Genomic DNA, 27,583 nt, shown 5'->3' with positions numbered 1-27,583 from the left:
GCAAAAAAAGAAGTGAGGGGCACATTGAGGTAACAGAGTAAATAACTACAAAAAGTAGCTAGCACCCCCAGTGCAGGAATAAAGGGAAGGGAGGGGTTATTAGAACCTATAAGCTGGGAGGAGGGGCTGCCTGTGATGGGGGTGGAGCTGGGACCCAGACTTCGAAGAGGTGGGTGCTGCCTGGCTGGTATATCTGAGGAGGCACAGTGAGGCTGAGGCTGATTCTAGAAGTGTGAAAACAAAACAAAACAAAAACGGCTAGAAACTGGAACTGACTCCTGCTGCCAGGATGGAGAACAATCATTGGGTAATGGTGCCAGGACCAAGAAGCAAATCAGGAAGGGGCCAGGCCCAACTCCCTCCTCCTGCCTCTGGCTTCCTTCTGGCCTCCCCATTGGCAGCACCTACCAGCGAGCGGCTGGCAAAGGGAATGTGTGGTTTGCAGCATCCCAGCCTAGGCACTACAAAGCAGAATATAGAACAGTGAGGTTGGGCTGAGAGACACTATCTGGCAGTCTGCTTTACAGCCGGGGGGGCCACAGCAGGTGAGAGAGAATTAAAGAAGCCCAGGGGTGCAGCATGAAAGCTAAGAAGCTAGGGTTTGACTTATCCAGGCACTGTGGCTGATGCCTGTATTCCCAGCTCTTTGGGAGACCAAGGCAGGAGGATCACTTGAGTCCAGGAGTTCGAGATCAGCCTGGGCAACATAGTGAGACACCATCTCTATGAAAAAATTAAACATTAGCCAGGTGTGGTGGCATGCACCTGTAGTCTCAGCTACACAGGAGGCTGAGGTAGGAGGATCGCTTGAGCCCAGAGGCTGAGGCTGCAGTGAGCAGTGATTGCACCACTGCACTTCAGCCTGGGTGACATTATTTATTATTTATTAAATAAATAATAAAATAAAGTTTGCTTTGACATGACACTTTGGAAATCATGGAACTGCAGGGGCCCCAGGTAGCTGGGGTTGGGGTGACACCCAAGCTTGTCATGGTACTGGGCACCAGCTTGTGCCCAAGTAATTCAGGGCTGAACAACCATACTCTAGAGACTGGGAACCAGAAAAGGCTAGCCTACAGGCTCACCCCTTTCAGTCTCAGCATTTCCTCCCCTCCTTCCTCCAGGGGCAGGGGGAATAGTGAGGAATTAACTCCTCGAAGCAGATGAGGATGAGACCAGACATTGTTTTTACTGGGTCAAACTCACTTGCCCTGCTAGAAACAGAAAGGGTAGGGGCTTTTCTTTTTGTCATAGAGATGCCAGTAAAGTGTGTATGTGTTGGGGCATTGGGGGAGGACACATGTACAATTTTGCACTGGCCCGTTTTCTCCAGCTCCATCCCTGTAGGAGTGTCAAGTTAGGGAAGCACCTGTCAACATAGACCAGGCAGCAGAAACATCGCCCAGTGGAGTAGCCACACTGCGTACCTCCTGGAGTCACCTCCTGGGTCTCAGCATCCATGCCAGAGGGTGGGAAATAAGACACCCAGGAGATGGGGACAGGGGAGAGGAGTCTCATGTTTGGACAGGAACTGGCCCTAAGAGAAGACCCAGCCAGGAACACTGGGTGGGCTCAAGCCTCACCTCTGTGGGTGTCCTCAGAAGCCCCTGCAGAAACATGTGACAGCCAGGCTGACTTTTGGAGTCCTGCCCAATGCTCAGGCTTGAGGTTTCTCTGAGTGAGGATCCAGCTGTGCTCTGGTTGATGTGTTTTCCCTGTGACTCTGTCACGCCCATGTCTGCATGACACCCGGCCTTTGAGCTCCAAGCATATTTTTGAAAAGGCAAAATCTGGGTCAGGCAGTCACCGTCTAAGCAAGGTTTCAGAGGACTTTCCATTCCCCAAGCCCTTCCCTTTGAACTTGGCCAAAACTTTCCTCCTGGGCTGGTATTTCTTCCTTGGAATGATAGCTCAAAGGTGAAAAATGCAGGGCAGAGCTCACCGCAAGTGGGCTGAGTTGTTTTTCAGTATGATGAGTAAATGGGGAAAAGTACTAGCAGCCGAAGCCATCAGCCCCAGCCTGCCCAGGATTGCCCAGCTCTGTACCATGGCCTTGCCAGTCACTTGTGCCATGAGCTGCCACTCTGAGGACCACTCCCTTGGGACCACACATGGTTAAAGCCACCACCTGGCCTTTTCTCCTCCTGCCTCCTGATATGACTCTGTGGTACAAGGGCCATCCACAGAGCTCCCAGCTGCAGACATGTGTTCCTGCTCAGACAGGGCCAGAAGGCACTGCCAACCTCGGTGCCATTGCTCTGGGAGCTGACCGTCCTCCAGTTCCTCTTCCTGGAATCCTCGGGTTATTCATGTCTGTGTGCCTGGGCTCCTGGCTAGGTTGGCCAGTTCAAGCTAATTTGATTCTGGAAGACTTTTCCCAGTAGTAGCAGCACGAAGTGACTGCTGCTTGATTCCTGTGGATATGTGTATGATTTGGGGGATGGAAGTGGAAGGGAGGCTTCCTTTCTCTGGAATCCCAAGGAGTGGAGCATAGCTCAAAGGAACAACCATGTGTGAGAGACACCTCTATCACCTGGAGCCATCTAGCTGCCCCCCAGCATCCAGAGGAAAAGGAGCCTCAGAGCCTCTGGGCCACTCCCAAAGGAGTCCAGAGAAAGTCTTGGATCTGGTAGCCTGCTGCCCCCCAACTGCATGGGGAGGTGGAGATGGACTGTCAGCCAGGTGGACGTCCTCCAAGCACTGAGGGAACTGCTGGTGATGGACGCACCTGCCGGAGCCAGAGCCTTAGACCAGGGTTTGTCTTGCTGGTCTGGAGGGTGGAAAGGCAGGATCCTCAGAGATTGGCCGAGCACCAACCTCCTCCACATGAAATCCCTCTTCCTGTGCTGTCAGAGCTAGATTGTTCTGGCAGAAATGGAGCTTTTCCTTTTTCATTTTTACTTTCATTTTGGTGTAGAGTTCCATGAGTTTTAACACATGGATAGATTCACATACCCACCAGCACAGTTCAGGAGTACAGGCAGTTCCGTCACCCCAACACCTCATGCTGCCTTTTCTCGTCACACTCTTCCCCAACCCATAACCTTGGTAACGACTGATCTGTCCTCCATCACCATGGTTTTGTCTTTTCCAGGATGCTTTATAAAGGAATCATCGAGTCCGTAGCCTTTGAGACACGCTTCTTCTATTCCGTGATGCCTTTGAGATGCACCATGTCATTGCCTGTATCAGTAGTTTGTTCCTTGTGTTGCTAAGTGGCATTCCACTGCATGGGCGCGCCGTGGTTCATCTATTCCCCTGATGAAAGACATGTGTACTGTTTCAAGGTGGGTTTTTGTTTTTGTTTTTGGCCTTTGTGAATAGAGCTGCTATAAACATTCATGTACAGGTTTTTTTGTGAACAAAAGTTTTTTATTTCTTCAGGGCAAATACCTAGGCGTGAGCTGTATCCTATGGTAAGTGTGTGTTTAGCTTCATAAGAAATTGCCAAATTCTTTTCCAGAGTGGTTTTACAATTTTGCATTCTCATCAGCAATGGATATCCTTTCTTTTTTACTTTTATTTGAAAACAAAGTCATCTTCCCGCCAAGGTGAAGGGTAGGGACATAAGGAACTGAAATAAAAGCTAAGTCCAGAAATGAAATACAGAGTGATTGTGAGCCATTTGTGGCTTTCCCAAAATACCAGGTGTTCTTAAGGCTGAAAGCACCTCAAGTTGAAGCTCCAGGTGGACACAGTGGGATGTGAACTTTGGGAGAAGAGATAGGGCAGGTCCCTGGAGAACTGGGTCTTAGGGCTCTGCTGTGTGCCTGAGGGCAGGTTACTGTGCTGCTCCAAACCTCAAGTGTTTACTGGGATCAACTCTTGCAGGTTTGATAAGGTCACAATTTGTGGTGTTTCAATTGTTACGTGATCCAGGCTTTGTGGTGAACATCAGAAGAAGCTCTAAATAAAGGTTTAGGATGCACACAGCCTGCTTCCATGCCATGTGGAAGCAAGAACTCCTCCAGAAATATTGAGGCAAAGATACTTTGTAAACATGCAAAAATCCAAAAATGCTTTGCTTAACAACAGAGAAGTTTCCAGTAGTGTGGGAACTGTTCTCAGATGTGTGGGGCCAGGAACAGATCTGATGCAGAGGATACAGTTCCATTCTGGAGAAAGTGGCTGAATACGTTTGTGGTTGTGTCTCTGAACTTTCTCTCTGGACCATTTCTATGCCTTCTGCCCCTCCTCGTCTCCCTGGGATCTTCAGGATCCCAACTTCCACTCCGCAACTAAACAACGAATTCTCCAGAGCATAAGGTTGAGAGCTTGGGCTGTGAATCAGGAAGACCTGGTTTAAAGCTGAGCCACCTTCTCGCTGGGGTAACGACGGATCAATTACTCAACCTCACTGGACCTCACATCTCCCATTTGTAAATGGGGGTAATAAGAATGCCTCCGTCAGCAGCCTATTCTGAGGACTAAATGAGGCAATGCCTGCACAGCCTTTACTGTAGGTCTGGTACACGGTATGTTTGCAGGAAAAATTAGTTATGTTTGTATGTTGTTGGGTTATTTTTTTTTCTCTTTTTTAAAAAATTTTTTTTCTCTTTTGAAAAAATCATCAAAGAAGAACATTGGCTCTCAGATCTCTAAGATCTCTCCCAGCTCTTATGTTACACGTAACAGAGGGGGGCCTACTTCATGCATTCTGGAAATTGAAAGCTATGCCACATCAGTTTTCTGGAAACAAGGGCTACCAGGAAAGAAGGGTCAGTTCGGGCCCCATTTTCGCCACTGAACCCAAACTGACCTCTGCATCTGTTTTGCTGATTGTTGGAGACCGGGTTCTAGAGCTCCCCATCACTGATAGAAGAATCACTCCTGAAAGGTGAAAGGTCCGGGGCCAGGGCTTCCGAAAGGCCTGAACAACAGAGGAAGGGAGGCTCTGTGTTCCTCTCCCACCTGCACAGATCAGTCAGTCACTCTGTTCTACAGGGACTCTCTGTAACTCATGAGAGGGACTCTGGAGGGAGACCCCTCTGTAACTCTCTGTAACTCTTTGAGGGACTCTGAAAACTCATGTATGAAACTGCAGAAGTCTGCTTCTAGACTTTGCCTTGGCCATGTGAGGTAAAGGGCCCTTCAACCCCTGCCCCCTACCTTGTAAATGTGCAAATGGACTCACATTTGAACCTCAACAGGTTCCTGAAAATCGAATAATAAAATAGATTGCTGTAAAGCAGCCCATATTTTCCCATAGCCACAGGGTTGTAATTGGTGATTACTAGCCTGATCAGTGGTAACTCGACAGCAAATTTATCACTGATGTGACCAACAATGTCATAAAGTGAATACTGTGTGTCTCTATAACCACTGAAAATACTCAAGTTATGCTCCAGGTCCTATAAAATGGGCGTAAATACACTGAACACTTCACTGAGGGAAGGGAACCAATGACCTATATGCAATATATGGGCAGCTATAAAAAATACAACCAGGCCATAAATTTGAATGAAAACCAATATTCTAGCCTTAATGGACATGAATTAAACATTTAATTAACACCAGTTTGCCCTACTTGCTTAGAATTCCAAATGAATTTGGAATGGATCATTTGGGCAGGTTGGGTGTCTTTTAAGAATGGCCCAGGGAAGCTTAAGTTGTTACCTTTGTCCCTCAATAAATGAAGATCCCGAGGGGAGCAGTGCCACCAGCTCACGGCATGGAGCGGTGAAAAAGGATGGTGTTCACCCCGCTGAACCACACGTTCTGAAGGCGGGGCTGCCCCACAGAGCACACACCAGCTTCTCCTGCCTCAGCTTAGATGCAGCTGAAGGGGAAGTCGCCCTGCCCAGGTAGCCAGCAGGGCTGGTGGCCTGCTGTCTGGCTGCTAAGCCCAGGGAGGGAGGCAGTTTTGTGGATTCACAGGAGTGCTCCGAGGACCCACCGTTGTCAGGATCCCGGAAAGCTGGCTGAAATGCAGATCCCTCACTCTGACATCCTGCGTCAGTACGGCTGAGAATTCTGCATTTAAGCGACCCCTTGATGCTCATTCTGGTGCACACTGGGGCTTGAGACTCCCTGCAATGGGAGGTATTCTCATCTCAGCCCCCTCCTGGTCATGCATAGTCAGCCACCACTGTTCCCTCAACTACACAACAAAATTGAGTATCGTGGCCTCCTCAAACCCATTTCATAACTATGCAGGCATTCCTCGTATGTGCAGACTGGTTCTGGGCCCCCCATGGATACCAAAATCCACAGGTGCTCAAGCCCCTAATGTAAAATAGTATAGTATTTTCATATAACCTATGCACATCCTCCCATTTACTTTAAATCATGGGTGTCCAATCTTTTGGTTTCTCTGGGCCACATTGGAAGAATTGCCTTGGGCCACACATAAAATACACTAACACTAATGATAGCTGATGAGCTGAAAGAAAAAAAATCTGCAAAAGATTCTCATAATGTTTTAAGAAAGCGTATGAATTTATGTTGGGCCACATTCAAAGCTGTCCTGGGCCACATGAAGCCTGTGGGCCGCGGGTGGGACAAGCTTATTTTAAATCATCTCTAAATTACTTATAATTCCTAATGCAAAGTAAATGCTATGTAAATAGTTGTCATACTGTATTTTTATATATATTATTTCTTATTGTATTATTTTTTATCATTTTTTCCCAAATATTTTTGATCTGCCCTTGTTTGAATCTGAGGATACAGAACCCGCAGACACAGAAAGCTGACTATATTTCTAATTTTTAAAAGTCTTAATTATACAGGTAATAAAGGAATGCATATTAGTTGTTTTAAAAGAAAAGCAGAACACACAGCAAAACTTAAACACACAAAGTGAATGTCCTCCTTTCCCATCTCACTTCCTTCCTTGGAGGAAACCCCTGTCAATCGTTGGTTGCACATCTTTCCATACTTTTTAAAAATGCAATTGCAGGCCGGGCGCGGTGGCTCACGCCTGTAATCCCAGCACTTTGGGAGGCTGAGGTGGGCAGATCATCTGAGGTCAGGCGTTCGAGATCAGCCTGGGCAACATGGCAAAATCCCATCTCTACTAAAATTACAAAAATCAGCCGGGCGTGGGGGTGGGAGTCTGTAATCCCAGCTACTCGGGAGGCTAAGGCAAGAGAATCATTTGAACCTGGGAGGTGGAAGTTGCAGTGAGCCGAGATCGTGCTACTGCACTCCAGCCTGGGCAACAAAAGCAAAAACTCCGTCTCAAAAACAAACAAACAAACACATTTGCATACTCATAATTTGAGCTTCTCCTTCTTTACACAAATGGCATCCTTCTACTCACATTGGTGAGGAACTTGCTTTTTTCACTTTATGTCTGGAAACCATTCCATGTCTTTCTTATACTTTTTTCTATTTATTTTTTATTTTTAACTTTTATTTTAGGTTCAAGAGTACATGTGCCTGTTTGTTATATAGGTAAATTGCATGTCATGGGGGTTTGGTGTACAGATTACTTGGCTACTCAGGTAATAAGCATAGAACCCACAGGTAGTTTTTCAATCCTCACCCTCCTCCTTCCACCCTCAAGTTGGCCCCAGTGTTTGTCGTTCCCTTCTTTGTGTCCATAGGCACTTGATGTTTAGCTCCCACTTATAAGTGAGAACATGCAGTATTTAGTTTTCTGTTCCAGTGATAGTTCACTTAGGATAATGTCTTCCAGCTCCATCCATGTTGATGCAAAGGACATGATCTCGTTCTTTTTCACGTCCATGTAGATTCCATATATGTACCACATTTTCTTTATCCAGTCTACCACTTATGGGCATTTAGGTTGATTCTGTGACTTTGCTATTGTGAGTAGTGCTTTGGTGAACATACACGTGCATGTGTCTTTATAGCAGAACAATTTATATTCCTTTGGGTATACACCCAATAATGGGATTGCTTTTCTCATCCTTTTTCTCTGTTGCTCCATGTTCCATACCAGGGTTATACCATGGGTTATTTGATCACTCCTTTACTGAGGTAAGTCTAAATTTCCTTTTTTCCTGGTAATGAACCATGTTTCTTTGCCCAGGTCCTTGGGTTCATTCAGAATTTATCAAGCACTTCCCAGGCCCAGGCATAGGACTAGGTGCTGAGAGGAGGCAGACAGCACTGGGATTGATCACGGGAGGGCAGGCAGCTCTGTTCACCACCCATACTTCAATAAAAGCCTTTAAACCATTACCAGGCCATTCGCTCAAACATGACCACCTCTACGAACTTGCCTACACCTCAGTGGAGGGTCCTTATCGCTTCATACCTGGCGTGATGGTTAATTTTAAGCGTCAGCTTGACTGAATGAAGGACTCTATAGAGAGCTGGTAAGGCATCACTTCCCAGTGTGTCTGTGAGGTTGCTTGGAGGGGAGACTGGCATGGGAGTGGGTGGACTGGGTGGGGAAGGTCTGCCCTCAGTGTAAGTGGGCACCATCTAATCAGCTGGGGGCCTGAATAAAACGAAAAAGGGCAGAGGAAAGGTGATCGCCTCTCTTTCTCCTAGACCTGGGACACTCTTCTTCTCCTGTCCTTGGACATCAGAAATTCAGGCTGTCAGGCCTTGGGACTCAGAACTTATGCCAGCAGCCCCCAAGCTTCTTAGGTCATCAGCCTCAGACTGAGAATTACACCATCAGCTTCCTTGGCTCTGAGACTGAGCCACACTACAGCATCCCAGGGTCTCCAGCTTGCAGATAGTCTGCTGTGGCACTTCTCAGCCTCCAAACTGCGTGAGCCAGTTCCACTAAGAAATCCCCTCTATATATGAGTATGTGTGTGCGTGTGTGTTTGTATGTGTGTGGAGAGAGAGAGAGAGAGAGAGAGAGAGAGAGAGGGAGAGAAAGAGCTCCTACTGGATTTGTCTCTCGGGAGAACCCTGGCTAATAGACCTGGGATAATTTCCCAGTTATTCTCCCTACTCAGGTGTCTCCAGTTTGTGCAGCTAGCTTGCTCTTCCTAACCCACTGAGCATGGGTCTTTTTAAATGTGCAGCCAGGTTGAAAACCACCGCAACTTTGTCTTTCACCTCCAGCCCTTCCTCTCCTTTCCACGCTGCTTGGACCTGAGGCAGCTCTGGGACCTTCCTGCTGACTTGCACTCTGTTCTGGCCTGAGCCATTGTTTCCTGCCATGATGACTATGGTGGGTGAGGTGGCTTGGTGTTTGTCCAGGGTCACCTTTCCCCAGTTATCGTCCTTACAGAGGGTCACAGCCAATCCGTAGTCCGTGTCCTGTGTCTCCTCTGAGAGGGCGTCTGGAGCCACCAACCTCATCCTGCCCACCTGGGAGCCACTGTATGCCCCATTAACTGGGCTGCTCCTTCCCACTTGGATTCAGGTTAGGCATGGAAGGAGCTGGTATTCTGTCCTGTCTTCAGAAACAATTAAGATGAAAAAGGATCTCGAGCAGCCGCATAGAAAGGTCTGCTTCAGCACGGGGTGTTCATGCGTCCACGAGAGCCATGGTGCCAGCGGTAGCATCCCAGGAGGGAGCTGTATGATTTCCAGAACGAAGGAATCTATAATCGATACTAGGAGACAGCATAGGCGATTGTAATTGATTAAGTGAAGTGCTTAAATAGAACGATCACAGTCTAATTATCTTTCACTGCTGACTCGAGGGATACTCTAATGTTAGAAAAGAAAACAATCTGGCTTCTCCCTAGTCCTTCTGAGGAACCGAGTGGAAAGCAGTAGCGATTGCAAGGGAGGAATCAGGCCAAGAAGAGGGGCAGTAAAACAGGCTCTGGTCCCTGGCCTGCAAGCTGGTGTTTTTTTCTACCCAGGGTCCTTTTTCCTTTTATTGGTACCACACTTCACTTTCCCTTTGAGGAACCCCCCACCCATTCTGGGACTTGGCTGACTCTCAAAGTGTCCCCTTACCACCTGCCTCCCTGTTCCCCCAGAGGCCTGGCACAGAACCTCATCTGGCCCAGTCAGGCCATTTTACTGGCAGCAACCTGGCTCAACTAGTCTTTCATTCCAGCTAATAACCAGGTCTCCTGGGCCATTGGTCTGCCTTTACCAGACTGGATTGTTTAGCTTTTCGTATATCCCTCTGATAACTTCCTTTTTTGTTTAAATTAATCAAAGTCAATGTCTATCCTTTCTAAGCAACACAAGCTCTGATCCATATCACCCACAAGGTCCTGCTAGGAGAGATCTGAGGGGTGATTGGTAGTGAGGCTGCATCCCATGTCTCTGGCCAGGCAGGGCCCAGGCAACTAAGCTACTTTAGTGGAGGCATCACACAGGTCAGGACAATATTGAGTGGATTTACAGACCTCAGATATGGCCAAGTTCCAGCCGTAGTGGGCTGGGATCCATGAGGTCAGCAGATGGCTGACCACAGGAGTGGCCATTTCCCAGCCAAAAGAAGTAACACAGCAACGGGTCAGCTGCTCCAGCTTTGGGGTACTTGGCCCTCTCACAGCAAAAGTTTCAGCCTGTGGCTTATGTATTAGTTTCCTAGAACCACAATAACAAATTATTACACTCTGTGTGGCTTAAAACAGAAATCTATTCTCTCAGAGTATGGAGGCCAGAGGTCCAAAATCAAGGTGTCAGCAGAGCCAAGCTCCCTCTGAAGGCTCTAGGGGGAAAGCCCTTCCTAGCTTCTTCCAGCTTCTGGTGGCCTTAGAATCTCTTTGTCTTGTGGCAGCATCATTCCAATCTCTGTCCATGTGTCTCAAATCTCTCTCTCCTTTCTCTTATAAAGATACCTGTCATTGGATTAGGGTCCACCTTAAAACCAGAATGAACTAATTTCAAGTTCTTTAATTGTATCTGCAAAGACCCTTTACCAAATAAGGTCATCTTCACAGATTCTAGGAGTTAGGACTTAGACATATCTTATTTGGGCCACTATTCAGCCCTCTGATACAGCAGGTATCTGGGAATAGAATCAGCCTCTGCCTACCCCAACTCTCCCCCGAACCCTCATCAGAGCCAGGCAGGACATCAAAACCCCAGAAAAGCAGGCTGCAACTCATAGGAGAGAGCCAGCACTGGAGAAGCCTGGTTGACTAAGAGACCAGCAGAGTTAGAGTCAGGTTAGAATAAACCAAGGCACAATTGTTGGGGTCATAACACAAGCTCAAACTATACTGTAGCTGAAGGACTATGGCCATGCCTGTCATTGCATCCAGGTTCCACACTTGCAGCATGGAGGTCCAGCAGATGTTTTTTATGATCCATGCTGTATCCCCCTAGGTAGCTAATGCCCTGAAGGCAACTCTCCACCAGAGAGGACACAAATGGAGAAAGAATTGGGAAATAAATGTCCCAGCCTCACATCCTTTTGGGAAAAATTTTAGTTGTATCCTTCCAAAGAGAGTCCCTAGTAGGTAGATCCTCAATTACTCACTATGGTAACCAGCTCAATAACACATCTATTGGCTTTTCTCCCTTGCTGGTATCATTCTTCTTTGTCCTTTACTTCTGCCTTCTGGAATGTTCTGCCACGTAAACAATTTGCACACTAGTCCTTATTTCAGGCACTGCCTTTGGGAGAACCCAAACTAATTCCATTGGTACTAAAGTGCACCGTCAGGATAGGATTCTGAAACTGGATTATTTACTGGTTCACACAGCAAAATGACTGCATTAATGGTGTAAGGGTGGGCGTTAAAACCCTTTGTACTATGTTACAGCTCACAAATGTTAAGGCTCTTGCCAGCAGTGTATTGGGATAACAAACAGAAGGGAAAATATTGGCTCATGAGGTACTCTAGAACTCGAATATTGTGGTGGCAATGGTAATAATAAGGATAATGGAATTGAATGATTTTTTAAAATATTATCCTAGAAATATTACAGAAAGAAAACAACAGGCTCAGTCAACTACCAACTCAGCATTCCATGAAAGCCGGAAGCCCGCCCTAGAAGCATTTAAAGAGACTCTCATCCCTGTAGCCATAGGGGAGAGTGCTGAAAATTAGGCACAGGGTTTAATTGTAAGAGTGGTAAAACTGAAAAGGATATGGATGCATTTTTAACTAGTTTCTTATGCTGAACCGTGATAGGGAATAAATGGACCCTAAGATCTAGGATGACACACGTAGGAGAATGGGTATGAGAACAATGAACCCTCAGATTCACTTGAAGCCTCTGGCCTGGCTGAGACATCCCCCTCTCCCTTATTCAAGAAAATCTTCCCACCTACAAGATCCAGCCCCTTGAATGGATACTATTCGAAGTCCTCAGCTGAGGTAGACACCTCACAAGATAATGCTTGTCCTCCTCAAGATCTGGCTTAATAAGAAAAAAAGAGAGAAGACACAATAATACGAATGAAAAAAAAAGCATATCCCTGTAGACCCTAAGACATTAAAAATAAGAGAATGTTAAAAAAAAAAACTATGCCTATAAATTTGAAAACTTAGATAAAATAGACAAATTTATTGAAAATCACAAGCTGCCAAACTTTCATTTACATGAAAAATGGGTAACTCAGCCCGGTGCGGTGGCTCATGCCTGTAATCCCAGCACTCTGGGAGGCTGAGATGGGTGGATCACCTGAGGTCAGGAGTTCAAGACCAGCCTGGCCAGCATGGCGAAAACCCCGTCTCTACTGAAAATACAAAAATTAGCCAGGTGTCATTGTACACAACTGTAATCCCAGCTACTCGGGAGGCTGAGGCAGGAGAATTGCTCCAACCCAGGAGGCAGAGAGGTTGCAGTGAGCCAAGATCATGCCACCACATTCCAGCCTGGCTGACAGAGTGAGACTCTGTCTAAAAAAAAAAAAGAAAGAAAGAAAAAGGAAAAAGAAAAATAGGTAAGTAATCCTAGATATAGTAAAGACATTCACAGTAAAAAAAACGTTCCAACAAAGAGAACCACAGGCTCAGACGGATTCACTGGAAAATTCTACTGAACATTTAAGGAAGCAATAATACCAATCCTACATAAACTCTTCAGAAAATAAATGAGGAGGAAACATTTCTGCCTCTGGGAAGATGAAATAGAAGCACTTTTTTCTGTCTTTCCCACTAAGTGGGAATTTAAGTATTAATACAACTAAAAATCTTGGGCATTATATATAAAATAAACATAAGGAGACCCTTGAAGGTGGAGAGAATAAGGCAACCCAGCTAGAGACCCTGGAGCCCAAGGAACGAATGACGGTGAGTTCTCTGGGTGTTATTTTTGCCTCATGTATATCCTAGACTTATTGCTGAAGAGGCAAGCAACCTGGCTGCACCAACGTGCATAGACAAGAAAAACAAAGCGGTCAAACAAAAACCTGCTCTCTCCAGCTAAAATATCAGGAAAAGGGCAGGTTAGCAAGACAGAAAATGTTCAGATAATGACTGCTCTACTCTAGCCAGACATCACAGAAAAAACTATGGCTCTGTCCCCTACCCCCATCCCTGGCCAACACACATGTACACACACAGAAACACACACACACACACACACACACACACCAGCAAAGATCAGGCAATGAGTCTGGACCTCCATTCTTTCCCAGCTATAACAGGCACCCAGTCCCTCCACCATGGTGGTATCAGAAAAGGTTGAGTAGGGAGCTGGGACTTCCATTCCCAGCAGGCAGTAATGAGCCTCTCCCCACCATTGATACCCTTGATAGTATCAGTGGAGCCTAATTTCCACTCCTAATCAGCAGCAATAAGGCAGTCCTTCCCCTCCTCACCAGGGTGGTGTCAGATAAGGTCTAATGGAGGGTCAGGACCTTCACTACCACCCAGTAAAAATGAGGCCACCCCCTTCCTGTGGGGTCAGTGAAGGCCATGTAAGGAATAGTGACAAGAACTCCTACTCATCCTAGCCAAGGAAGTGTCAGGGAAAGCATAGTAGAAAGCCAACCAGCCATTCCTACCCAGGAGTAATGAGAAGCTCTCCCCCTCATGGGTCAAGGGAGGCTGGATGGGGAACCTGGACTTCTACCTCCACCTAGCAGTAACAAATGATGCCACTCTTCCCCTGATGGAGCAGTATCAGAGAAAGCCAGTTAAAATAAAAGGTTTAAACAATATCCAAAGTGTCCTAACACCCAAAATGTCTAGGTTTTGATGAAAAATCACTCATCATGCTGAGAACCATGAAGCTCTCCAACTAAATGAAAAGGACCATCAGGAGATACTAACACTGAAATATCACAGATGTTAGAATTTTCTGACAAAGATTTTAAAGCAGCCATCATAAAAATGTCTCAACAAATGATTACAAACACAGTTGAAACAAATAAAAAAAGAAAAACAGTCTTAGCAAAGAAATAAAAAGCCTCAGAGGAGGAAAAATAGAAAATATAAAGAAGAACCAAAAGGAAATTTTAGAACATAAAAATACAATAACCAAAATTTGAAATCTCAATGGATGAGCTTGAGAACAGTATATAGGAGACAAAGGAAAGAATCAATGCATTAAGAGATAGAGAAATAGATATTAACTAATCTAAACAATATACAGAAGATAGACTTAAAAAAAAAGAAGAAGAAGAATGAGCAAATCCTCAGGGAACTGTAGGACTATAACAAAAGATCTAACATTCACCATTCTTGCCATCAGACTCCTGGAAGCAGAGGGGAAAACAGGGCCAGAAAAAGCATTTAAAGAAATAGTTGCTGAAAATTTTCTTAATTTGGCAAAATACGTAAACCTCTAAATTCAAGAAGATGAATAAATCCCAAATAGGATAAAGCCAAGTATCTCCATACCAAGATACATCATAGTCAGTGTTCTGAAAACCAAAAACAAGGAAAATTATTGAAAGCAATGAGAGAGAAATGATACCTTACCTATAGGGGACAACAATTTGAATGACAAAGGATTTTCCATCAGAAATCATGGAGGCCGGTAAGAAATGGCACATTCTCAAGACAGAAAATAACTAAAAGAAAAAACTGTCAACCCCAAATTCTATATCAGTCAAAAAAGTCCTTCAGGAATGGAGGGGTAATCAAGATATTTTCAAGTGAAGTAAAACAGAGAATTTGTTGCCAGGGGACCTATCCTAAAAGAATGGCTAGGAGTTATTTTCTAAACAGGGAGGAAATAATAAAAAGAAGAAATGTTGGAATGTCAGAAAGAAAGAAAAAGAAACAGAAAAGTAAAGAGATGAATAAATACCCATTTTCCTTCTGTTCTTGAGCACATCCATTGAGATTTCAAATTTTGATTACTGTATTTTTATGTTCTGAAATTTCCTTTTGGTTCTTCTTTATATTTTCTAATTTTTTCTCTGAAGCTTTTTATGTCTTTGCTAAGACTGTTTTCTTTTTCATTTGTTTCAACTGTGTAATCATTTGTTGAGACATTTTTATAATGGCTGCTTTAAAATCTTTGTCAGAAAATTCTAACATCTGTGATATTTCAGTGTTGCTCTCCCTATACATAACTAGTTGACTAGTTGACTCCCTATATATAACAATATAGAGAGGTTAAAAGTAAATGATAGAAAAAGACATATCATGCAAGCATTAATCAAAAGAAAACAGGAGAGGCTATGTTATAATCAGATACAGTATATTTCAGAGCAAAGATAATGACCAAACACAGACAGGGACATTACATAGTAATAAAAGGGTCAATCCACTAAAAAGACACAGCAGTCCTAAATATGTATGTGCAGACCACAGACCTGAAAAATACATAAGGCAAAAACTGACAGAACTGAAATAAAAAATAAATAAATCCACAATTATAGTTGGAAACATTAACATTCCTCTTTTAATAATTGATAGAACAACTAGACAGCAAATCAACAGGATATAGAATTCAACAACACCATCAGCCAATAAGATCCAATTGACATTTTTAGAACACTTCACCCAACAACCCAATAACAGCAGAATACACATTATTTTCTTTTTATGTCACGCATTTTTTTCCATAGGTTATTGGTGAACAGGTGATGTTTGGTTACATGAGTAAGTTCTTTAGCTGTGATTTGTGAGATTTTGGTGCATCTATCACCTAAGCAGTATACACTGCTCTCTATTTGTAGTCTTTTATCCTTCACTCCCTTGCCACGCTTTCCCCCTGAGTCCCCAAAGTTCATTGTGTCATTCTTATGCCTTTGCATCCTCATAAGCTTAGCTCCCACTTACAAGTGAGAACATACAATGTTTGGTTTTCCATTTCTGAGTTACTTCATAATAGTCTCCAGTCTCATCCAGGTTGCTGTGAATGCCATTAACTCATTACTGTTTACAGTTAAGTAGTATTCCATCATATATATATATATATATATATATATATATATATATATATATATATATATATACACACACCACAGTTTCTCTAACCTCTTGCTGATCGACGGCCATTTGGGTTGGTTCCAGGTTTTTGCAATTGTGAATTGTGCTGCTATAAACATGTGTGTGCAAGTGTCTTTTTCGTATAATGACTCCTTTTCCTCTGGGTAGATACCCAGTAGTTGGATTGCTGGATCGAATGGTAATTCTACTTTTAGTTCTTTAAGGAATCTCCACACTGTTTTCCATAGTGGTTGTACTAGTTTACATTCCCACCAGCAGAGAATACACATTATTTTCAAGTGTCCCTGGAAAGTATACCAAGTTAGACCGTGTCCTGGACCATAAAACAAACCTAACAGGCTGGGCACGGGGCTCATGCCTGTAATCCCAGCACTTTGGGAGGTCGAGGCAGGCAGATCACGAGGTCAGGAAATCGAGACCATCCTGGCCAACATGGTGAAACCTCGTCTCTACTAAAATACAAAAAATTAGCTGGGCATGGTGGCGTGCACCTGTAGTCCCAGCTACTCGGGAGGCTGAGGCAGGGGAATCGCTTGAACCCAGGAGGTGGAGGTGGCAGTGAGCCAAGATCACACCACACTGCACTCCAGCCTGGTAACAGAGCAAGACTCTGTCTCAAAAACAAAAAACAAACAAAACAAAACAAAACAAAACAAAAACCTAAACAAATTTAAAATAATTTAAATCATACAGAGTGTGTTATCTGACCACAATGGAATCAAATAGAAATCAATAAAAGAAATATAACTAAAAAACATCCAAACACTTGGAAATTAAACAACAAACTTCTAAATAATTCATGCATCACAGAAGAAATCTCAAGGGAAATTTTAAAATGCTTTGAAAATGAAAATACAACATATCAAAACTTGTGAGATAGAGATAAAGCAGTGTTGAAAGGAGAATGTATAGCACTAAATACTTACATTAAAAAGGAGGGAAAGTCTCAAATTAATCATCTAATTTCCCACTTTAAGCACCTAAAAACACAAAATAAACAATAAACACAGTTTTAACAGAAGAATGAAATAATAAAGATAGGAGCAGAAATCAGTGAAATTGAAAACAAAAACAATAGAGAAAATCAATAAAACAAAAAGCCAATTCTTCCAAAACATCAGTAAAATTGACAGTCCTCTATCAAGACTGACAAAGAAAAAGAGAGAAGACGCAAATTACTGGTATCAGGAATGAAGTAAGGGATATAACTAAAGACCCTGCACGCATCAAAAGGATAATGAAAGAGTGCTATAAATAACCCTACAGACATAAATTTGACAACTGAAGTGAAATGGACCTGCAGGTAACATCCATATATAATGGTCAAAGACTGAAAGCTTTTCCCTTAAGATTGAGAGCAAGATGGGGACGTTCGCTGTCCTTCCTTCTCATCTTTATACTTGAGGGCCTGGAAAGTGCAATCAGGCAAGGAAAAGACATGAAAGGCACATTAGTGGGAAAAGTGAAATAAAACTGTTTCTAGTCACAGATAACACGCTTTTCTATGTAGAAAAGTCCAAGGAAAATACGAGTTACTAGAAATGAATTTAGCAATTTCACAGAAAATATACAGTCAATACAAAAGAAATCGATTGTATTTTTAGGTACTAGCAATAACCAATCAGAAATTTTTAAAAATTTTAAGCACCATTTACAATATTACCAAAATATGTAATACTCAGGCATAAGTCTAAAAAAATTATGTTTTGTGTGGAATCTTTATGCTGAAAACTACAAATCACTGATTAAAGAAATCAAAGACTAAACTTTGGTTACGAATTGGAAGACCCAATTTTCTTAAAATGTCATCTCTCCTCAAACTCATCTATGAATTCAGTGTAATCCCAATGAAAATCCCAGCAGGTTTTTTTTTTAAATAAATTGACAGGCTGAAATATATATATGGAAAGACATTCTAAAATGTATATGGAGGCTGGGTGTGGTGACTCACACCTGTAATCCCAGCACTTTGGGAGGCTGAGGTGAGCGGAACACTTCAGGTCAAGAGTTCAGGACCAGCCTGGCCAACATGGCAAAACCCCATCTCTACTAAAAATACAAAAACTACTTGGGTGTGGTGGCACACACCTGTTGCCCCAGCTACTCGGGAGGCTGAGGCAGGAGAATTGCTTGAACTCAGGAGGCAGAGGTTGCAGTGAGCCAAGGTTGCACCATTGCACTCTAGCCTGGGTGACAGAGTGAGACTTTGTCTTAAAAATAAATAAATAAACAAATAAAATATATATGGAAAGGCAAAGGAGCTAGAATAAACAAAGCAATTTTGAAAAAGAATCAAGTTGGAGGACTCACACATTCTGATGTAAGACTTACATGGAACTATAATAACCAACATGGTGTGATACTGGTGAAGAAACAGACTGTAGGCCAATGGAACAGAATAGAGTACAGATGGCACACTGTAGAACAGGGTGGAGTCAGGCATTTTCCTCATTACAGAGGAAAGGTAGCACTGTTCTGTGCCTTGAGAGGTGGCAGCTTTAGGAGCTGCTAACCCCCTGGCGTGGACAGCAGCAATTTTTGCAGTGGGCACTAGCCACAAATACTTGAAAAGTTTTTTTACAAAGCTTCTTAGGTAATGAACATCAAGGGTTGGGGAGGGGAGGGTGCAAAGCTGGGTGGGAAGATTATGGAAGATGCTGCAATCTAACCGTGGCTTACAGCCTGCTTTATGAGTACATGCTGGCCACGCTTGAAAACTCCTAGATGCAAACTGAGTGAGAATTTGACTGGAGCAGTGGGTGGGGGGCATGGTGCTAGAAGCGCTCACTGAATAGTAGAGAGAAGAACCAGAAAGTATGGCCATTATCATTAGTGTGACCCCAGCACTGTCCTGGAGCCTGGGAAACTTGGGTTATGTTGACTTTTCTGGACCCCCAAAGTGGCTACATAAATCATGGGTGCTCCATAAATATGTGCTGAATGAATAAGCGAATGAATGATCTCATCTATACAAATAGATTTCACTGGTTTATGTAATTCATATAGTGATATGAACATAATCCATGACTTAAACCGAGGGCAGGATCCGGGTCTTTCTCTCTTGGTGTCCCCATGGTGCCTAGTCAAGTGTTTTCTGTACAGATACAATGGCTCCATGCCCAAGACTTAGCACAGAGCAGCACCCACCTTGAATGAGACACATTCACCTATTAGCTCTGATGTAAGAATCCTTGCCAGAGGCCTAAGGCGTTACCCCAAGTTCCTGTCACACCACCTCACCACAGTGACAGCAATTCAGAGTGCTGGTGGGCAGAAGCTTGTTTTCATTAACTGGTAATGAAGAGGAAATTATTTCTCCTCCAAAGTTATGTTTCTGCTGATATCTTGGTGAAATTCCTTCTTTCCCACCTTGTTTATTGGTATGAAATGCTAAAAAGAGACATCATTTATCTACATTTTTTTCTGGATGGATCAGTCAACACTTTAGAGGTCAACCTGTCCTAAGAAAGGTGGTTTTCAGTTAATGGCTAGGAAATGAAGCTTTTCTTGTCCTTTCTGAGCAGTTTTCTTCTTCTTCTTCTTCTTCTTCTTCTTCTTCTTCTTCTTCTTCTTCTTCTTCTTCTTCTTCTTCCTTTTCCTCCTCTTCCTCTTCTTCCTCTTCCTCTTTTTCTTCTCCTTTCTTCTTCTTCTTCTTCTTCTTCTTCTTGTTCTTCTTCTTCTTCTTCTTCTTCTTCTTCTTCTTCTTCTTCTTCTTTTTTGTAAACAAATCAACAACCTTGCAGCTATTTAACTCTTTTTTGGCCACAAAGACGTATCCAGAATGGTCTATGAGGAAGAATGATATATCCAGAATGGCCCAAGACTAAGAATTATCTCTGCAACTCTGGATCCACTGTGAATTATGAAAGCCAGAACCAACTCCAAGAAGAAGGAGAAGGCGTTTGTAACAGGCTCCGGGTCTCTTCTGCCTGCCCAGAGCTAGGCATCAATGACATCTTTTGGCCAGCTGGTCTCCGGGAAGATCTCAGACTTCAGTCTGATGTTCACAGTGGCACTGACTTTTGTGTTGTTGAATAGATGTTGAAATTCCCGTCATGCAGGAAGATTCTGTCAGAATCTAGATGTTGGCCTGACCTCCCCTTCCTGACCCAGCAAAGGTAGGGCCCCCTGAAGACAACAAGAGGAATTCCCACCACCACAATGATGGGCTCCTTGGGGAAATGGAGGTCCTTATAGAACTCTAAGCAGAACATGGCTCTCCCACTCCACATGAAGAGGTTGGAACCCATTTGGAAATAACTGAGATGTAGAAGGCCGTGCTTCCCAAAAACTGTGCTTCCCCAAAACTCAGCCTGACATCTGTGGAAGAGGTTCCTCAGAATGCAAGAGGGCCCCTGCCTGCCAGACAGGTCTGGGACTCCAAGGATAATTGCACCTGCAGGGCTCCAGACTCTGTCAGACCAAACATTGTCCAAAGGTGTGGTCTAGAAAAGAGGTTCTCAGATGATAGCAGGCATTAGAATTATCTGGAGGATGTGTTAGAACACAGATGCTGGGCCCCATCGCCACCAGGTTTCTGATTCAGTGGCTCTGCAGTGGGGCCTAAGAATTGGCGTTTCAAACACAGTCCTGGGCCATGCTGATGGTGCTGATCCAGAACCACACTCAAAGAGCCGCTGGACTAGAAGTGGGGGTTGCTCTGCTGCCCTCCTGCTCTGTCTGGTGGCATCTGAACAGGTTCATCAGACTGAGCCCTGGCTTCTGACAGGGCTTGTCCTTCTCCTTTCCACCCTCAGTCCTGACTTCTTGCTTGGACTTTGATAACACTTTGATGCCAATGGCTCTACATCTCGCTCCTGGCTCTCTGGCTCTGGTCTTGGCTTAGGTCCTGCTTGATCCAGGGATCTCCCTTGACCTCTGTGTCAGGTCCCCTGCCTCTCTGCCCCTCCAAGTCAGGTCAAGGGAATTCCCCACCAGGACAGCTCTTGTCTATCCCTTCGCGGTTCCTGGAAGCTAAAGATGAGCTGGTTACATGAAAATTAACCTTTGGAATCTGTCAGTCCCAGTCTTGAATGATCATACATTCTGGCTGGTAGATAAAACCAATTCCTAACAAAGAGTCTTTGAAATGTTTACAAAGCTCTACATCAACAAACCAAAATGCAAGATAATACAAGACCGGGTCAGGCATAGTGGCTCACACCTGTAATCCCAGCACTTTGGGAGGTCGAGGAGGGCAGATCACTTGATATCAGGAGTTCAAGACCAGCCTGGCCAACATGGTGAAAACCCATCTCTACTAATAATACAAAAATTAGCCGGACACAGTGGCATAGACCTGTAATCCCAGCTACCCAAGGAGGCTGCAGCAGGAGAATCGCTTGAACCTGGGAGGGGAAGTTTGCAGTAAGCCAAGATCACACCACCGCACTCCAGCCTGGGTGACAGAGCAAGACTTCATCTAAAAAAAAAAAAAAAAAAAAAAGAAAAAGAAAAAGAAAAGAAAAACTAAGATGATACAAGACTGAAGATATCTGTGTTAAGTTCACGTGTACCTCTCTTTAATCAATACCTCTGTTCCTGAAATTATTTCCCATGGAATATCAATTAATTCCAGACATAATTCACAAATAGTGGATTTAGGGTTGGGAGTGGCTCCTAACACTTAAGCATTCAGTTTGGCTATGCCCTCAAATAGTCAGTGATCTTCCCAAAGGGGCCAAGAAGAAGCAAAACCCTGGGCTAGGAAGAACATTGTTCTCCTGCGAAGAGAACATTGTAGCCTGGGAAGTTCCCAGGCTAGCCCACTAAGGCCTGTTGACCTCATCCACCATGGGAGATGCAACACAGTTACTACACCAGTGGCTTTAAAGGACCCAGGAAAACAGCATAGAATAAGAAATGTCTTTTAATTTAACTTGTCTGGTGTTGCTTAAGGAAAAAGGGGTTCAATTACTGGCAAGTGAGAAGGTTGGTGCAGACTTGCATGAGCTCCCGAAGGGACCTCCGGGGCTGTGTGGCTGTGGCACTGAGTCTTCATTCCGCCTCATTTCCCCCCAGAACTTATGACTTTAATTTACCTGAATAGAAGCACATCCAGGCGCTGCGCCTGTGTCCAGCTGCTGAGACAGGGAAAGCGGGGTTCTGCAGGTGGCACTGGGGGTGCAGGGGGAAGAGGGAAATTGGCAGGGGGAGATATATTCTTAAGAGAACTGGAGAGTGGTTGGAGGTGAGTTTAGAAAGGGTGTGTGGCCAGGACGGAGAGGGGAGAAGGTGGGGAAGGCAGCAGGGCAGGAAGAGGTCCTGAGAGGAGAGAGGAAGAGGAGGAGGAGGAGGGGGAGAGGAAAGCCAGGACACTGAGCTTCCCCAGGCAAGGAGGAGTTACATATGAGAAATGGGGTGACATCATGTGTCTTCCTGAGGGGCAGGAAGAGACTCTGGGGAAGAAATGTGTGTTGAGCGATTGATCTTACAAAGTCCAAACTTCTCTGGGAATTCAGGGCATTTGTGCTGGCATTCCTGGAGGTGGAAGTGGGGAATCTGAGTCCTATTCTCTGCCTTTCAGTAGCTTAGAGCTTATTAAACTCCTTCCTGTCCCCTCACCCCAACACCCTTATCAGTTCCTGTCCCCCCCACCTCCTACAAAAAGTTATGACTGTGAAGCGTTAAACCAGCTCAGGACAGTACCTGGCAAGATTAAGATTCCTGTAGCCCAACTCTAACCAAATCCCACTCCTACCCCAACCCTTTCGGAAAGCTGCAGCGGCCCCTCCTACCTGCCAAGCTAAGGCCCTTGCTCAGGTGGCTCGCAGCTCTCTAAAGGTAACCTGGCTGGGCTGCTCCCCCTTCAACCCTCTCCCTGCCAGCATCTTCGACCTGAGCCCAGACCAAATGCCTCTGCCTTCCTCTCCCGCCTCGCCCACTCGCCGCACTGGGGGCATCCTCTCCTCTCTTTCAGCCATGGAGCATTGTGTGTGACCCTAAGGAGGCTCAGTGACTGAGTAGCCCCCTCACTCTCCCCCAGGGCCCACCTCTGAGCCACATTCCCACCTTCACGTCACATCCTCTCCCCGCCCCATACACACATACACACAATCCCACTTCCATGCTGCCCTTAGACCTGGGCAAGGGTCCCTGCTCTGGTCCTCCTGCTACAGAGGGCATCACCGTGGCCCTTGTCAATTACACTCCCTCCACGCCCCACCCCCCGTCACAGGGCAAGGAGGAACTTCCACTCGATTTTCAAACCCATGCTCTTGGAATTCTTTGCCCAGGAGGCCAGAGCCCACTTCTAGACCTTCCTCTTGAGTGCAGCCTGTGCCTGTGCCAGAGTGTGCACCCAGGCATGGGGCAGCCACAGGACAGCTGTCTGTGGGAGGTCTGCACAGAGCCGACGGTGTTGCATGTCTGTCACAGCAGAAGGCCCCTTGCTGTGTGGGATGGGCAGAATATGGTGCGGACGGACACACCAGGGTGCAAGGCCAGAGGCAGACACTCTTGTCATAGCGTGTTCCATACAGAACTCCGAGGAGTGGAAAGTTGTGAATGCAAACCTGACCTTCCAGGTCTTTCCAAAGGTATATTTGTCAAGGTGGGAGGCTAGACCATGATTGACTTAACAATGGATTCATTTGGTTGATGGCTTTAAAATACTTGACTCATGGCATAAGGCCTCCCTTGAGTCTTGCCCTGGGCCCTGCAAATGCTGGGGTGGGCCTGTCCAGCTCCAAACTTGATTGACTTATGCGGGGTTTCTGAAGCTTTCACAGAACAGGGGAGAGGGTGACTTTGCCTATCACAAACCCAAACTTCCTAGAATTTCTTTTTAACCAGCTCTGCTCTTCCGCCAAATTTCCTCTCCTTACTGCAACCAGCTCATCTCTCCTTTCTCCCTAGAAACCGTATCCTTGACTAGCCCCTCCAGGCTTCCTAGATCCACCCTCCCCACTTCCCCAACTTCATGATCTTACAAAACCCTCTCAGCTCCCATCCTCTCCCTGAACAAAAGCCCTGTTTCTGGATAAACAGCTCTCAACAAAGGAGGAGCCTGTCCTTGGCCAAAATGGCTTGTTCTCCCCATTTGTCCTACTTTCTGTTATTACAATCTACGTTCCATCAAGCTATGTCTTTGAGTCATCTCTCTCACTAGACAGTGAGCTCCTTGAGGGCAAACACTGTGTCTGGTTTGGCTCTGTGACTCTTCCAGCACCTTCTACTTTGAGAGCATTCATGCAAGTTTTCATGGGAGATATCACGGAGGAGTTGGAATCGGAGTTAGGCCTGAAGGGTAGGTAGAATATGGAAAATGAAGTGAGTAGAGGCAACTGGAGATTCCTTCTCTCCTGTGGGCAGTAGTGAGCAATTAAAGATTCTTGAGCTAGAGCAAGACAACACTTTAGAAAGACTGACGTCAGGAACAGTGAGATGCAGGGAAAAACTGAGAGCAGTTTGGGGGCTGTTGCCACAGCACTGAGTGTTAGAGGAGGCAGGAATGCAACGGCAGGACAAATAGATGCAGGAGGCAGTACCTTAGGCACAGCAAAATAACTTACCCGAGGCCACACAATTCAGAAGCAGAGCTAGAACTCAGGTTGCCCAGTTTTAAAGCTGTACAGTTTCCTCCATACTGAGTCACAGAGGAGATGAGGCTAGAACTGAGTCCTGAAGGCTGCTGAGGAGGAAGTTTGCCAGCAGGCATGGGCACTGGGCACTCCACCAGGGTCACTACTGGGTTCAACCAGGTGCACCCTGGAGGCCACCGCTTTCTGCAGGAGATTCTGGCCTTCCCACTTGGGAGGAAAGTACAGACCCTGACTTAGGCAGGAAGGGAGGGTTGAGAAGCACCCCATGGGGAAGAGATTCATGTTAGCTCCTTTCCCTGGGAGGAGGCAGGGAGAGGTGATGCTTACACATCCAAGTCCCTGGGTACTGGCTGAGGGATCAGGGGAGCTGCGGTAACTCCAGACACCTGCATGGTGCTTCACGGCTTCCACAACATCGTAAAGTGTTATTCCTGACCACTCCACTTTCCCCCCTCTCTACCCAGTGTATCAGATCCACCTTCCAAGGCACTTCTGGGAAGGCTTCAACCCTCAGACTTCCCTGCCCAGCATCCACACAGCCCTGTGCTTTCGCCGTCATTGATCACTTGCTCCCATCTGCAGATAACAGCTGTGTGATGTTGGCCAAGTCACTTAACCCCTTTGTGTCCCAGTTTCATTGTGTAAACAGGAGATGATGAAAGCATTGTCCACCGGTTTTTCGACCCCAGCCAGCCATGATGATGATAATGGTGATGATGCCTTGTCCTGCTGGTTGATTGTGGCTCTGTCTCCCCCACCACTCTGCAAATTCCTTGAGGACAAGATAGGAAGCACCTCTGGCTTGTCTGTATCACCTTGGGGACCAGAAACTGGCACGCACCGCTAGGTCCATTTATTCAATCCGTGAGCACTTCTGGAGCACTTGCTATGTGTCAAGCTCTGTGACAGGATCTGGGTTTAGAGATAAATAAGAAGCTCGGGGGTGGGTGGGGGTGTCCAGAGTTAAGGCAGACACAGACCATTATATAAAGAGTATGGAGAGGGTCACAGGCGCTGGGCTGAGGCCGGGTGAACATAGCCAGGCAGGAGGGAAGAAGAGGGCTTTCTCAATCAAATGAAAGCTGATTGAGATGAATCCAGTGGTCCCATCTGACCCCTACAGCAATCACATTTAAGGATGAGGAGATGACAACTCAGCCGAGAAAATCCCACTGTTAGTACGCCATGGGCTGGGGCTGGGACCAGAGCCCCTCACTTCTCAGGGTTGGGGGCTCACAGCGCATGCCTTAGAGATCCCCACTTCCACTGCTTCCCAGCCTTGGCCTCTGCCCAGAGTTGTGCAAATTAAAGGACTTCCGGGCAACATCCATTCATTCCCTGGTCTCTATCCTCCGCCCGCCCCTGCGCTCCAGGGTATTTTTAGTTCTGGGCAGCCAGGCCTGGTGAGTGATTGGCAGCAGGCAGAGCCCACGTTTCCGAACCCTCTGTGTTGCTTCTGGCTCAGCATGAGAGGTGGCTGGGCCCTAGGAGAGGGCTTAGGCATACCTGGCACCCAAGCCCACAGCTGCCTCATTGTCCCTGGGGGAGGAGCTGGGCTGCTGCCACTGACCCGAGGCTGGGAGCATTCTTTCCTGCTGATTCATCATGGGGAATGTTTTGGGCCCAGCTGGGGTGGGGCAGGGGCACTGGGGGGACATCTTGGACACGGGCAGCCAGGAGTGGATGGCAGGTCCCTGGCAGCAGGGTCATTAAGACCTGGCTGTCACCCAGGATCGAAAAGGTCCATCTTGACATCCTAGCTCTATCACACTCTGCCTGTCCAGGCTTATTCTTACTTGCACATCTGCCTCCCCCACCAGACTGGGAAGGCCCCCTCCAGCGTCTAGCACTCCAGCACCCTGTCTAGCATGTAGGAGAAAATCAATAAAGGCTTGTGGGATGAATGAACCTTTGGAAGGACGTTTAGGCAAGGTGGGGGCAAGAGGGGGAACCAGGTTGGGCAGCTGTGGGCCTAGGGAGGAAACCGGGAGGCTGGAACCCTCTGCCCATTTTACAGATGGGGCCAGTGAGGCTAAGGGCAGGACCAGGTCTAGGGGAAAGAAACTGGGGGCTTGGACTGGGGTTCAGGCACCTAGGTGCTCAGTTCAGCTGATGGGACTCCTCTCTGTCAGCCATGTCCACATTTCTTTAATTCTACAGTCCCTGCTCCCTGCACTAACACCCTCCTCCCGTGAGTCTGACAAGGGCCAGGACTGCATCATTCAGCTCTGTGAAGGGGTTCTCCCATTCACTGTGTATTGCCTGGAGGAGCAAGTTATGTCGCCTGGGGCTCAGTGTTCCCAGCTGCACAATGGGCAGCGCAGAGTTTCACACGGAGGGCGGGGGGGGGGGGGGGGGCGGTATTCAGTAAACTCTGGGTGACTCGCCTGTTCCTGCAGGAGAGCACCGCTGCACCGCGCCACCTCGACCTCTCTGAACTGAGCCCCGGCCTCCCAGAAAGGGCGTCTACATTGTCCTAAGTGACCGAGCTCGTGAGATTCGGCCCCTGTGACAGCCGGGCGCTCCCGTGCGAAGGGTGCTGTGCCGGGGGCCCTGGCACCCACCAGGACTCACAGACTGGGACTCTAGGTGGGCGTCATTACCTTGTTCTGCAAAAGAGGAAACTGCCTGGGAGAGGGACTCCCGAGGCCGCCGCGGCCCTCCCTGCAAAACAGCCGCGGGCCCAGCGCCGCCCTTTCCCGAGAGCTCCGCTCCCCGCGACCCCCCGCCGCCCCCCCGCTCCCCCCGCCCCCCGGGACTTCCCGGCCCCGCCGGCTGCGGCTGGGCGCCCCCGCCACCTGGCCTGTGTCCCGACGGGGGGCGCCGCGCGGAAGG

At 46.3% G+C, this 27,583-nt stretch overlaps 1 long non-coding RNA gene across 1 annotated transcript; it reads right to left on the bottom strand.

The window, feature by feature from the left end:
* Positions 1-15,625: 15,625 nt before the first annotated feature.
* LOC124902489 (uncharacterized) lies at positions 15,626-27,465 on the bottom strand. Its single transcript, XR_007062260.1, has 2 exons — positions 24,719-27,465; positions 15,626-21,627 (listed from the first exon to the last, which is right to left on the bottom strand). It is a non-coding gene; the product is annotated as an uncharacterized LOC124902489 (long non-coding RNA).
* Between the last annotated feature and the right edge of the window lie 118 nt (positions 27,466-27,583).

The sequence above is a fragment of the Homo sapiens genome, chromosome 10 (assembly GCF_000001405.40).
Source record: "Homo sapiens chromosome 10, GRCh38.p14 Primary Assembly".
In the NCBI taxonomy this organism is placed as follows: Eukaryota; Metazoa; Chordata; class Mammalia; order Primates; family Hominidae; genus Homo; species Homo sapiens.
This window is presented reverse-complemented; position numbering and strand designations above follow the sequence as displayed.